Here is a 14,969-nt window from a genome sequence, read left to right on the forward strand (position 1 = left end):
CCCAAAATGAGGGCAGCCTCTAGAATCTGGAAAAGGCATGAAGCTGACTGTCCCCTAGAGCTTTCAGGAAAAAGATGCAGTCCTCTCAGCACATTGATGTTAGCCTCCTAAGTCCCAGTTTTGGACTTCTGACCTCTAGAACTGTAAGATAATAAATTTGTGCTGTTTTAAGCCTGTAGGTTTATGGTGATTTGTTACAGCAGCTGTATGAATCTAAAAATCCCCTAAATCAACCATTTCTCACCCCTTATTGCCTAAAATTCACTTTCTGTTCATCAAGCTCCCCCTAGACTCTCACCCCTGGGCTGCTCTGTGCTCCCTCTGTTGCACTAAACTCCCACTGATCCACTTCTCTCCAAAACTTCCCACTGAGTGTTCTAGGCTTTCTCTTAAGTTGCACACAAACTCCCCTGTGTTCTCAAACTCTCCACCAAATGCTTCTCCTAACTGCTGGCTTTAGCTGTAATATGCTCTTTCCTGAGAACACCTTGAATATCCTTGAAAGTCCCTCAAGAAGATGCCTTTATTTTTCCTACATCCCAAGTATCTGACTTATAAAAATGTACTGCTTCCAAACATCACACTTCACCCCTTGTGGGTCCTTATAGACCACTCATGATATGTGGCCATATCACTCTTGATTTCTTGTCACTCTCATAGCCTTATGGCAACTCCCCTCTTATTTATTGAGGATTTTAAACTGGATCACTTAATTGGATCCCTGTACCAAGCTCTGCTGTCATTTTGGGAGATTTGAGAATTCTTAAGAACGCTTTGTCCTAGTCATTGCATTTCTTGATCTCTTACACTGCAGTAGCCTTTGCCTCCTCTCCACTCCAACCATTAATTCCCAAGGGCACACTCAGGGCTATTTTAACACTTAGAATTTCTCTACCTCTGAAAAATCCTACATTCAAATATTCTAGAAATGATTGGATTAAAACATTAAAGACAGAAATAACCAGATTGCATTGTCTAACTTCACCATATCTCATCTCAAAGGAAACACCTGTTCTTCCTCTCCTGATGCCCAGCTCAGTAAATGACAGTACCATCCAAAAAATGTGCCCAAGGCAGAGATCTGGACACTGTCTTTAACCCTTACCTCTGCCTCTCAATTTATCATCCAAACAGTTGCTATGTCCTCTTGAGTTTACCTTCTAACTATCTGTAAAACCTGTCCATTTCTCTCCAGTCCCACCATTCCCAGATTAAATGATCTTTCCTCTGGATTACTGATGATCTCTAACTGTTCTGTCTCCAGTGAGTCCTGTCATACCCACCAAACCCAATTCTTGTCAGGTTTGGGTTGATGATTAGAAAGACATGGTGATCGTGTTGCTTCTCTGCTTAAAATCCTTCAAGAGTTTGTAACAAAGTTCATATTGACATATCCTTAATGACTGGCTGCTGCTTCCCCAGTAAGCTTCACCTGGCATACCTGCCATGTGCTATCCCCTTTCCCTCACCACGCAAAACACAGAGCAGCCAAGGGAGTAGGAGGTTCAAGAGCACCACCTTCCACTGGTTATTGAAGGCATTATGTATTCATCCTCAAGTGGAAGCTGAAGCTGAATAGATGTGCATGATACTCTGAATGATTTTGAGATGTGGTCACCCATGCAAATCACATACTCACTGAACCAAATTCAGGACATTGCAGCAATCCCGAAAAATCCATTTGACCTCCCAAGTTACAGTTTAGTTGCAAATCGTTCTGTCCTGAAGACATAACCATGCTCTGCAATTTCTCAGATGCTGACCCTTAAGAAGTGCAATTCACAAGGAGGCTGATTCTATAACAGCAAAGAGCAGCACTGCTATTCTAAGGATGGGTATTTTCAGTGTGGCATGGGGAATTTCCTGAACAAACACCCACATCTTCCTTGATATTCCAGCATGCACTAATCCACTGTGTTTGCCAGAATAATTGCAAAGGGACTCAGTCACGTTCCAGGTTCAGCCTAGGCACACTCAGTATCCAACACAGGCTGGAGATGAAATAAGGAAACTCTTTTGGGCATAGCTGTAAGGTCAACAAATTGGAAAAAGCCACAATTCACCCTTGGGAAGGATTAAATATGCCGACATCCTCCAAATTGATTTACCTAGATCAGACCACATGTTAATGAGGCAGACAAGTTACTCTAATTCATCGTTACTATTCTAAATGCAGGGACCTTTTCACATTGAAGAGGCGGGGCAATGGATTCAAATGAGCATCACTCACTTACGGCTTGTCACTCACCCTTGCTAGGCCAAAGCCATTTATAATTGCTGTCATCTAAACTGCACTGAAACGAACTGGACATTCAAAGAGCGCAGCTCCCAAGAAACAAAGTGAGTTTTCTTCCCCTATTACCTGCACTGCTTCATAAACGCTCTTAGCTGGCAAAATGTGAGCATTTAGATTTCTTCTGGGCACAGACATTTTTCTAAGTGCTTTAAAAATTTCTATTATTTGAATGGTCTCCTTGAAAATGCCTCACTTTTCAAGACTGATTCTTCAGTGACACTGAAACACTATTTGTACCACAGGTACAAGAGCTACATTTCAACTTCATCCAAATTGTGAGTAGGAAAAGCAAGATATTTTTTGATGACGTTACACCTACCAATAAACTTTATTCATGTCAGAAGGTAAAGTTCATGCCTATATGAAAGTGAAATGTATCGGTGTGTTTATGTGATAACTCATCCACACAAAGTGATGTGGCATAATCATCTAACAAGCTACTTCTGTAGGTAAAGGAAAACGTAAGTTAATGACCAAACAGTAAATACTTTAGGCTTTGTGGCCCATATGGTCTGTTGCAGCTACTCAACTCTGCCATTATTGTATCAAAGCAGCCATAGGCAATACGTAAATTAACGTGTGCAACTGTATTCCAATCAATTTTTGCTATGGACTGCACTGCAATTTGATTTTCATATAATTTTTACCTGTCACAAAACAATGTTATTCTTTTGATTTTTTTTCTGTGGTTTAAAAATGTTAAAAACATTTTTCACTGGCAGGGTCATACTGAAACAGGTGGCAGCTGGATTTGGCCCATTGCCCACAGTTTACTGACTCCTGCTTTAACCTGTACTTGTGAAAATAAGACATATAACCTCTTTGCTTACATTTCATTTTTGAGTACTTTATCAACACGAACTCATGAAGATCAGTGGAAGCATGAAAACACAAAAAACAGCTGCTGCAGTGTGTAAATACTAGTAATTTCAGATTTTACTTTGGTAGAGTTAGAAGGAGAATATTCAAGAAGAAAAAAAAAGCAAGCAGCATCCAGACTATTTTCCTTAGATTGCTGTGTTTTTTCTTGTAATTTCAGTACTCTTTGAGTTAAATTTTTCCCAGGAGAATGTACTTCCATATTCCTAATGGATTGTAACTTTTCCTTTCTAACAAATGAATATTCATTATTCATATTCATAAATAATCCCAACAAAATTACTTTTTCTGATTACAAAAGTTGCATTTGTTTATTTTAGACTACCTGAAAAATGTATAAGATCGCAGATTACTTTTAGCTCAGGGAAAATTACTATTTAAAAAGCAAGAGATCGTTTTATCTTCTCTCATGCATCTGTAGTTGCAACTGCAGTCATGATGTAAAAATATTTCCATTGGTGAATCAAATGTTAATAAAACACTCGGCTATTTGGCTAGAAAACTTGGTTTAACCTTGCATGTGGATTCAGGGTGAAGCAAAGGTCTCTAATTCTAAATATTTGTTGGTAAATGTTGCTCCATCAGCTACTTGGAAATCAGTTTCCATCAGATTGGGTAAAGCCTGCTAACTAAACAGAGCAGCAATTAGGCCTCAGAAAACAGCCTCTGTTTTTATTCTTCTTGTACTTATACAAAGTCAATGTGTCCCTGGCCTCAATCCTCCTAACCTCCTTCTTTGGTATGAAATGTCTTTGGCTTGCAAAGCAACATCTGTGAGGTTATCAATGCATTTTGTGGCAGGCTCCCTGTGAACTGAAGGCCTGCACAGGTGTTCATTCTTTGAGAAGGCTCAATCCATGTGACTGTGGCTTTTTTTTAGCACTCTTGCTTGTAGGCAGGTAAGCTCAAAGCATCACCCTGTAGCTTCCGTTTAATGGGAATATGAACACTTAGAGTGAAGCTGTGGACTTACATAGCTTTCTTAAAGCAAATTCAGCTCTTTAAAGAAAAATAACAACTATTCTTTGCCTTCAAACCTCTCTCCTCTGCCCCCAACCCACACCCCCAAATCAGACAGGCCAGATGTTTGTGAAAACTGCCGTTTCCACAATCAAAAGTACAGCATTTACCATAGTTTTTATCAAAGATTTCAATTCCCCTCATCTTAAGGAAAATGACCCTTTTATTTTGTTGTGGACATAAAATTATGGCCCTGGGAAAATTGGAAGCATTTCTGTTGAGGGAAATCAATTTTCTCACTGCCATATATGATCAACATGTCACAGCCATCACCCAGATAATAATAGTAAAGTACAAGTAAAATGGCTGGTAATACTGGCTTTAAAGGTAGAAAAAGATAGAAGCAAGATAACACCCCCCATCCCCCCACCCCCCCTTTAAAGCATGTTTGCAAAAAGAAGAAAAGGAAAGAAAAATCTCTAAGGGTTATTTTTGTTCTTTAATTTTCTTCCTTCCACCTCACTTTCTTCCCTTTGCTAGTGCTTTCTAGAGTGTAAGTATTTTATTTTCTTGTGTGGACTAATCGGCCAAAGCATTAATGAAACTGTAGAGATATGTGTTCTTCCTGGAAAAGAGTAAGCACTTTATGTGTAAACCACTCTGGCTCCTTTTCAATCACCCTGTTAATGGGTGGCTAATTGTCAAAAGATGTGACCAGACTGAGATGACCCAAGAGTGTGTTTAGGTGGGAGGCAACAGGGAAAGTACAGAAGCAGCTTCTTAATTTGGATCCTGCAAACAAAAGGAAACATCAGATCTGACCTCGCTGCTGGAGTGTTAATGGCTTTCTCCCCGTCTCCCCCCTGCCACTTAGCATCTTTTGTGCCCCACCCTGGGAAGCTTCCCGGCAGAAGTGTGCATTAGCAGAACTCTACAGTTACAAAATGCTGCTTACTACAGACAAGGGAAAAAAACCTTCAGAGTGATTAAATGTTTTTTGGACAAACACATCCATAGCCATAAAAGTGCCATTTTTATTTCAGGCAGGCCTTTCAGTGATGTCCCTGCTGGGGCCACCAGCACAAAGGAGTGTTGTACCTATAATGTCATCGGAGCCCTTGAAGGAAGATCTAAGCACTGTCTTTGTCTTTATAGGAAATTTGGCCCCCACATGTAAATGTGCGAAACCGAAACTGCCTTTCATTTAGGCCAAGGTCATTACTGAGGAAACAGCAGACAGAATTTTGGCAAAATATCAAATATTTTCAATAATTCAACCATTTGAAAAAGAATACTGCTTGTTTCGGAATATAAATGAGAGTGAGTAGTAGAAATAAGAAATCCAAGCTAGGGACCAAAGAAAACTAAGCTAAGGACTCTCACAGATATGATAAATGGGCATGCACAAAGATGTTCATAGAAGTATTATTAAGAATTGGAAATAACCTACTATCTAGCAATAATGAATTTAAAAAGATAAACTGTGGCATATACATATTATGAAGCTATTAAAGACAATAGTTTTAGAAAAGAGAAATAAAACTAAAGATACAGAAAAAACCTTTGCAGATTTAAGTAAAATAATAATAATAAAGTTATAGCTATGGAAAAATGCATCCTCAGGAAAATACACTAAAAAGAAATACACCAGAATGTTATGGTTGTGATAGGACAGCAGTATTATGGGCGAAATATGTTTTCTCTTTTATTCCGATTGGTAGAGAATTGGATATTGTATTGATTTAGAAACAAACAAACAAAAAGTAGGCAGAAATAAGCCCTAAGAAGCCCTTTTTGGTGCATGAGAACATCATTCAAAAAGAAGCTGTACAATTTCTCCCTAGATTTTTATTAGAACTTAACATCACAGTTCTCCAATATTTAGGTGGTAAATTGGGAATAAAAAGGCCCGGTGGGCTCTTTCTAGCCCAAAGGAGGTACTCTGCTCCCAGCAGCAATGTCCCAGCGCCTTTTCCCACTCACCTTCAAAACATCGTGTGCCTGTTTGCTGCAATTTCCACAGAGAACATGACATAAAATTTGGAGACTCTAGACAATGCCTGATGCTCAATGACATCAAAAACATCTGGACTCAAAGAGAAAAAATAGTTGATTTTTCTGCCTTTATTTTATAACTTTTCTTTCCTCCCAAAAACCTACTTTCTCTTGTACACTGGATATATGCATAGTTCATCTGCAGGTTTACTCCTAGTTAGTTTTCTCTTTTTTTGAAGACCAAGAGTTGTCCAAGGTATCCATATCCCAGCTCATAGTCCCAAACTGAAAGGTTATATCAGGTCAGGATGTAAGTCGCACATCAGGAAAATGTCACATCTGAATTGAGGAGACCTGGGTGGCTGTTGGCTCACTTAGCACTGTGGCTGGAGAGGCTCTCAGCCCTCTAGACAGCATCATGGACCATGTGTTAGAAATGATCAAACTCAGTGGCTTATTGGAGTGGAATGGTAGGAAGAGAGGTGTTCAAAGAACACTTCCTATCAGTTAGTAAAAGCACATCAATAAAAATAAATCAATGCCCACTTGTTTTCTAGGAATCTGCTTCATATTCAGCAAAGACTCCCATTATGCTGCATTTCTGATAGACTAGCATAGAAAAGATGTGGTTTCAGCTAGAATAAAGTATCTTGAATAAAAGCATTACTCTGTCATTGGAATCTTCCACTGTGGACCAAAATGTGAAGCAAAGATAAACTCAGATATAAAATTTAAAAATAAGTAACGAGTAAGAGATAACACATAATAGACATTTGTAAAAAAAAAAAAAAAAAATGAGCGATACAGAGGAATGGAAAAAATTCTGGAATAAAAGAAATAATTAGAAGCAAAATTTTGACTTAGAATGTGGCTTTTGAAAGAAGGGGAAGACATTCCTTAATAAATGCCATAAATAAAAATGTTCTGTGGTTTATTAAGAAGTGGATTGTGAACAAATTGCATTGGGTTGGAGAACTTGAGTTTGATTCTTCACTTATTTATTGAACTGTGTTGCTTTGAGTAAGTTTTCCCCTCCTAGAGCCTTGACTTTAACAATAGTAAAATCAAATAATTGAACCAGATCAGACACACAACCCACCTCTCATTTCTGCCAATGTCTTGCAACAGACATTGCTAATCAATGGTGGCCCTTACCTGTGAAGCCTGGCTGAAGGCTCAGAATCCTTCATTTGACAGTGTTCCTGGCAGCCATTATTAAATGATAAGTTTAGATGTAATGGATAAAACTTTTCCATTACAGTCCAAAATGAATTCCTAGGTTTCTGACCCACCATGACCCTAGAAGCTCTTTTCCAACCCTCAGTAGAACAGAATTAATATGTTTTCCATTAGCTTTGTGAACACCCAGCTCCAATGACACTCCATAGGCTCCAGATCAACTTTCCTCCAAATGTACACCCAAGAAGTTCTGTGTTTCAAGAGTTACTGTGCTGAAAGTACCAGCTTATCCAAATGCTGCTTCCTTTTTTAGTAGCCAATTTGTAGAAATGGCAGATAGCAAATGTTTCTTTGGCTGGCGTGAGACACCTGGCAATCTCCACCACAACCATCTATAAATCACAGTAAGAGGGCACGCATTATCAATTCTTTATTAATTTCATTAATTCATAATTTAGAGTTTTAGTAGTTGTCATACAATTATATATGTAATTTTATTTTCTTCCCAAATCCATAATAAAATAGAACAATACTGACCTCTTCTATAGATCCAACTGGCCTATGTTCCAGAATCCAATTGAACTGCTGCATTCTGTGATCAAACTATGAAAACACATGCCACATCCCTCCTCCGAAACCTGCAGTAGCTCCACTGTCCCATTGGCCCCAGACTCATTGCCTTGTGCTTTACAACCCATTATTAGTTGGATTTGTCACGTGCTCTCATGTCTCATTATTTATATTCACATTGTTACTCCATTGGAGAGACCCGTTTGCTGTCTTTTCATCCCAGGTCCAGGACGAGGTTAAGGCAAGTGAGAAGACAAGGGTGCAAGTCAAAAGAGGCATACTCTAGAACCCTTTGTTACGTGTCTCCTTAAATGCTGTACCCTATGTGGCTCACTTGCCCTATACTGGCTTTGGCCATTCCTTGTACCATAAACTAAATGCAACAAAAACTTATTTGTATGTATGATCTGATTGTATCCTCTTAGCCCTCATAAAAAAAAAAGTTATTATTTTTCCCATTTTTACGGAATGAGAAAATCTAAAAATCTTGAGAAAAATTAAAAAGTTAGGGAGCATCAGAGTTAGAACTGAATATCAGCTCTTCTGAACCTGAGCAGAATTTCCAATCCATGAGTCTATAACTCTATTTTATGGGCTCTGTGGCAAGGCATGCCTTTTTCTTCCTCTGAAATCCAAATTTTAACTAAACTTTTCAGTTCTAATTATTTGATTTATTCCAAGTTTTCCCCATATCCATGTATTACTCCTCATTTGTTTTGTAAATGTTTATTATGTGTTATTATCTCTTACTTTTTCTTTTTTTGGGGGGGAGATTCTGTTTCCTTAACAGATGGGATACACCTTGAGGTGAGATATACAATAAAAGAAATTTTATGTTGTTGTAAAGCCTGAACTTGTCAGTGAACTTTATGAAGGTTTGGGAGGTTTGCATTGTAACCAACTTTTATAGATAAGGAAATTTAATGACAAGGAATAATGACAGCTGCATTTACTAGGGACCTCAGTGTTGTATGAACTATGCTAAGCAGTTAGCATGCAACATCTCCATGAATTTCATAACAACCCAGTGAGGAAGTCATTATTATTCACACATTAAATATGAGAAAACTGAAGCTTTAGGAAATACAGAAAATTGCATAAGGTAATTGCAGCACTTGTAAATGTCAGGGCCAGAAATCAAACTCAGGTCTGACTCCAAAACACATGCCTTTGAGTGATTAGTCCAGAGGTGCAGAACTGGTGAAGGGTCAAGTTGGAACCTGGGCCTGATAATCCTGATTTCAATCTAGTTCCCTTTTTATTGTCCTAGTATATTCCCACTTTCACAAAATAGCCATTTAATAAGTGGTTTTAAGTGAGGTGAAATTATACTAAGAATAATTTTAGTCCATGTTTGCTTTAGCCATTTAGATGTCTCCTTACTTGGAATTAGAGCCTAAACAGAAATATTACCAACGTCCAAACCTGCTGCTTGGTAATAGAGTAGATATGGTATCTTTAAAGAGTGCAAATATGAAGAAGGCTTAGTAGAATGTGGTATTCGTGTGTGTGCCTTGCATATTGGGAAGCATAACAAGGCTTGTGATAATTAAGTCCTGGTTGATCCCCAGGGGTCAAAGGGCAGTGGGTTTTAGGAGCAGTATAGCACAGGGATGGCAAATAAGCAGCATGGCTAATTTATCCCAGGCTTCTTTCCCATGGGGCTCTGCAGTGGCTTCTGATCCATTTCAGCACAGAACTCCAGGCAGCCACTGCCCACTGCCCAGGGCTGACTCTAGAGAAGAAAGCTATTCAGCATCCTCAGTAGAGTGAGAAGTGCATAGGTTATAGGTTTAGTTCCCAACCCTGGTGCTTCCACTTATTAGCTGAGCAGCCCTAGGCAAGTTACTTAACCTTACAGATCTTCAGTTCAGTTGCATTATCATCATCCAGAAAATAATAATGTAGAAGATGCCAGTATCCCCCACCTTTTTTTTTTTACTGAGTCCTGAATTTAATCAGAATAATCCTGACATTTCACAGATTTTTTTTCTTTTAAGATATGTGATGCCATCAGTTCATGGGATTTGGAGTCAGCCATACAGACCAAGATTTGAGCTGCAATTCTGTCACTTAACTTTGTAACCAAGAATAAATTGCTTAACTGCTTTGTTCAGTCTCCTTATCTATGAAAAGAGAATAACATCACCTCTACCACAGTTATTGTAAGATTAAAAAAAAAAAAGCACATGACAAAGTACATAAGCTGTCATTTACTTGATAAATATTGTAATCATTCCTGCAAGGCAGGTCTCTAAGAGGCACCTATGTCCATTCCGTTGGAAGGAGACATTTGGCCATGACACTGCACTTTGAGCTTGTCCTGTTTAGCACAGCCATTGTGCTAGCCACTGTTTACTTAACTGATGAAGTTACCTGGTTTTTGTCCTTGGCTACTTGCTAGCCCTTGTGCAATAGCTCCTGATTGGAGGCTGGATCCCTGCAGATCACGTAACCTGGTCACAGCAGAAGTGGTTTGTTCTCTCTGTCTCCCTTTTGTGCCCAGTGTTACAAACTGTCAAGTAGAAAGAAACTGAAGGGACTCAGGGGTCAGAGTTGGGGACTATCAGGACTCTTGTACTACCTGATCTTTTGCATCTTATTCAATAATTATTGATTACCTACCATAGGCCAGCTTCCTAGGGCACAAACATGACATGACCCCTGCCTCAGGGAGCTCAGAGCCTGGTGCTGCCATGAGAACAAGTTTTCACTTGTAAGAATAATTACTCAAAAACTAAGTTGGACATGCTAGAGATTTCTTGAAGAAATATATGTAGGTGTGTACGTACCAAGTTCAAGGAAAATACAAATGTATTTCCTCAAAAGATGCCTTTGAACTTGAAAGAAAGAGAATGCATCTTTTTAAAAAGTAGAAGTAAGACTAAACAAGGACATATGTAGACTTTTGATATGTGTGTGTGTGCATAACTTTTATTAAATGTATATGAAAATTGAAAGTGAACACTTTTATCAAATATATATGTATATATAAATAAATAAAATAACTAGAGTTTAAGAAACTTTCACAAACCAGACACACTCATGTAACCAGTACATGGATTAAGAAACAAAACATTATGTGTACCTTCCAAATCCCTCCATCACACCTCTTGTAGTCACTGCCTGTTAGGGTAACCAACATCTTGTATTGTATTAGCATAAAATAAATTTATATTTTGTATAAATAGCATCATATAGTATGCAAATTTAAAACTATTTTCCTATCAAATTTCAGAGTATTTTTTGATGCTTTGTTCATTAAACTAAACTAGTGAAGGTTGCTCCACTGTGTAGCATATGCTCGAAGTGAAGGATTCTCAAGCTTGCGTAAAAATCGCTGACTCTTTCTGCACGGGACGATGCCTTTGTACCTGGATGTCCTGATCTTGGAGGTTACACTTCAGAATGTGAACTCATTCATTAGAAAATGCTTTATTTGATTGAAGGCCAGGTACTTGCTTCCCAGCAACACAGCTTAAGTAAATGCCCAACTCAGACAGTCAACATTACTGTCTCAAAAATCTTTCATTCTGACATATTATCACACATTTGTCATTAGGGAACTGCATACTCACATATGTCCATAAATATTTGGTCTTGGTAGACCCAGGTTGACCTGCTTGAGAAACAGCAGGAAAAAAATATCTTATCTCTGTCCTTGGACAACGTACAATTAAATGAAGGGAAAGTTTGAATGTGGCCTCTGAGGGACTTTGTTTCCCTGAAAACAAAATCATTTTGCTCTAGTCAATCAATAACTTTACATGGTAAATGTGAGTCTTAGGCTCGGAAAGAGGTTATCGGCCATAACATTTCTTAACACTTTCATAATGTTATCAGGAATTAAAAAGTAACATTTATCAAATATTTACAAGTTGCGTGGGACAGAGCACTGTGTAAACGTATGAATCTGATAATAGCCAAGCTGCGTTTTAAAACAGATGCAGAAACATCTCAAAAATGTTTGCTTTTCAGTGATGCATTCTCCATCATGTAAAAATTTAACTATTGAGATGCTCTGGTGACACGTGGAATGGGTCACACAAGGAGGAATGTATCTCATGTGAAAGGTCAATATCAACACAGATGAAAGAGATTGCATTAGGCAGGTTATGCCACTCAAGGAAGGACACACATTTTCTAAATGAACGTTGAAAAAAAAAACCTATTATATAATGGAAAATGTGAGACAAATATTATTTACTTCAGTTGATTACATATGAAAAGTGTGTACTAAGGCACACACAAAAGCAATAGTCCCTTTGTCTTGCTGTCAACTCCTTTCTCCTTTTGTTGTCAGTGGTGGCACTTCTCCAGGTTCTAAAGGGGCAGAAATTCATTTATCTTTCTTCCTCCACAGTCCCCTGGGCACTTTGCCTCTGTATAGGGCTTATCCAGTCAAGAGCCCCCATAGCTACCTTCATCATAGTAGATCCTGTATTCTATTAATTAGAGATGGTCAAGAAAAAGAAAGATGAGGAGGAAGAGGGGGAGGGGGAAACATAAAGTGATAGGTGACAATCTTAAAGAAGAAAAAAGAAGAGTATTAGCTGAAAAAGGGAGTTACTCAGCCCTAACAATCTCCACATTTTCCCTTTATCTGATGAATTTAATGGTCCTAACCCTGCAATTTCCACATTTTCCCTTTATCTGGTGAATTAATTAAATGGTCCAAGAGATGGCTGCTGAGTCCTAACCTGGCCTCTGCATGCTGCTATCTTCTCTGTCCCTCCCTTCTGGGCCACATGTGAGGGCCAGGTCTTAGTCAAAATTGGAAAGTGTCTAGTGTGGTCTGAGAGGCTTAGAACAATGGAATGGCACTTTCCAATAAAAAAAAATGTTTTAAAGTAGATTCTGTTGGTAGGGCATTTTTTATTTGTTTCAACAGTTGAAAATGTGTGTGTGTGTGTATATATATATATATATATGCTTGACAAAAATGTTTACTTTCAATTTTCATATACATTTAATAAAGGTTATTGCTAATTTCTTAGCCCTTTAATCTGAGAGCTGTATTTAATTTTACATTGATGTGGATGGCTGCTGCCAATTCAAGGCTGCAAGGGTAATTGGTAATAAGGCCCAGATGCTCTTACAGAAACAGAACAAAAAATATTTCCTCTTAAAACATAATATATACATGTTTTTTATTAACTATGAGAAGAGAAATTGTGGGGTAAACAGACCCAGACCTTAAATATCATAAGACATACAGGTGTATGCTTTTGTTTTTTTAATTTCAGCATTCTGATGTGTGTTAAATATTGCAAGTTGTAAAATGTATTTGTTTATTTTTATTATGACAAGTTAATATAGACTATCATAAGCTTTTAAAATAAGGCTATACAATATAAGTCAGTTACTTTATTAAATTGGAGTGTTAATGGATATTCGCCCTGTATAAATATGGGTGCGAAAAAGGAGAGCCCTATAACTAATTGACTCCCTGCCCCAGGCACCCAAACCTCTTTCTGCAACTCTGGATTTGTCCCTCCAGGATACTACTGCCAAAATGATCAACACAAGGTCCCAAAATAACAATTTATTCTGCCCAAAGGACATTGTGCCCTCAGTCTCCTGGCCAGATGAATTGGCACAATTACATCCTTCTCTCTTGCTTTCCCCCTCAGGATATCCTAGGTGTCAGAGCTTTACATGTTGTGATGATTCAGAGAAAAAAATCTGCTAAGAGAGAAGGCAGTGCTACGAGCATCTTCTTAGATTCTTAGGTCCAAACTGATGGAGTGAAACGCAATTCCTCCGTTGGTTTGTTTCCTTCAAAACTTCACTGCCCCTCAGGCACATCCACAGATCAAGTAGAGGGCTAAATCCTTTCCTGACTCTTGACACAAATATATCGGTGTTAACCAACAATGACCCCAAATTGGCCAATTTCAAGTCTTCTCTTCCACCTGCCCCCTGTTCCCCCAGCAAGAATTAGTGACTTAAAGACCATGGTGCAAATGCCAGTTTAATCTACCGAACTGTATTTCTCTCTCTGAAGCAGTCTGCTACAGAGGAAAATAGACATTCATTTCTGCTTCAGGAAATTAAACTGTTCAACATGGTTTCTTGATGATGACTTCTTATTTGTTTTGCCTCTTTTGCCTTAAAACTCTCTTCTCTCAGTACTTTCCTTTTCACAGAGCTGGTTTTCAGAAAACTTCTTTTTATTCATTTTTCTTTCTGACTCAGAGGCACTGAGCTCTGTATGAACAAACCCTTTCATCAAGAAACCCCACAGCTCGCCCTGGGGATGTGCAGGAGCAGGTGTATATTTGCTTCAAAAGCTGTTCTCAATGTAAATAAGCTCAAGGTGGGGCTCTTAGCAAAATGCTGAGGAGGTGAAAGAGGAAGGTGGCTATTTATATAGACAGAACTCTGCATCCTGTCCCCTGTAAGGGACAGTGCCCATGGATGGGTTAGGATGAAAGACTCTAGCTCGCACACCAGGCACTTAACTAGGGCTTCTGACCATCAAAAGCTTCGTCCTAGGGAGTTACTCACCACTAGCATTGAAATGCCTTTTAAAAAGATAATGTGGTGTAAGGAGTGCAGAGGAAAAAAAGGCAGGGAAGATCTTTCCCAATCAAAAGGAAAAGAAGAAGCATTTACATAAGAACTCCTCAGTAGTTCTTTAAGACTAAAATCTTGCTCACATTTTGCAACAAAACATATGTTAAGGAAAATTTAAGGAAGGCCGTTCATTGGACTAAGCTCCTGTCGTAGGCCCCAACAGAACAACCCAAAATGGAGTCACATGTGTCAAAGTTCTACAACACCAAACTGAAAACTAAATTGTTCACTTATAAGATCTGACCTTCCCAGAAATCAGGAGATGATAGCCAAATTCCCAAACAGGCCAATTTTCCAAAAACAAAAAACAAAAACAACACAGTAGATTCATAGCACCCAATCAAAAGGAGCCCAGTCGTCTTGAGCTGGCATGACAAAGAAGCCCCCTCTGCTTTCACCCATACAAGGAAAGTAACCTGATGCAACCTGAGGTCAACTAGTCCACTTTCTGTACTGTGCTGCTTCCTTGCTCCTGGTCAAGCTGCCTCACAAAAGCCAACTGTTCTGCCAC

The 14,969-nt window shown here is 38.6% G+C and overlaps 1 long non-coding RNA gene across 2 annotated transcripts in view, besides 1 other annotated feature; it reads left to right on the top strand.

Moving 5' to 3' along the window:
• The first annotated feature begins 2,296 nt into the window (after positions 1 to 2,296).
• The window catches only part of LOC105370826 (uncharacterized), a 107,205-nt gene continuing 94,532 nt past the window's right edge, over positions 2,297 to 14,969 (top strand). For both annotated transcript variants that reach the window (XR_007064645.1, XR_007064643.1), the window contains exon 1: positions 2,297 to 2,340. This is a non-coding gene — a long non-coding RNA (uncharacterized LOC105370826). The remainder of the gene's footprint in view (positions 2,341 to 14,969) is intronic.
• Positions 4,659 to 5,168: an enhancer, noted in NCBI's record as "NANOG hESC enhancer chr15:53740354-53740863 (GRCh37/hg19 assembly coordinates)". NCBI's record gives its function as "activates a minimal SCP1, AML or CMV promoter by ChIP-STARR-seq in primed H9 embryonic stem cells {active_cell/tissue: H9 hESC(primed)}" and the evidence as "EXISTENCE:reporter gene assay evidence [ECO:0000049][PMID:30033119]".

The sequence above is a fragment of the Homo sapiens genome, chromosome 15 (assembly GCF_000001405.40).
Source record: "Homo sapiens chromosome 15, GRCh38.p14 Primary Assembly".
Classification (NCBI taxonomy): Eukaryota; Metazoa; Chordata; class Mammalia; order Primates; family Hominidae; genus Homo; species Homo sapiens.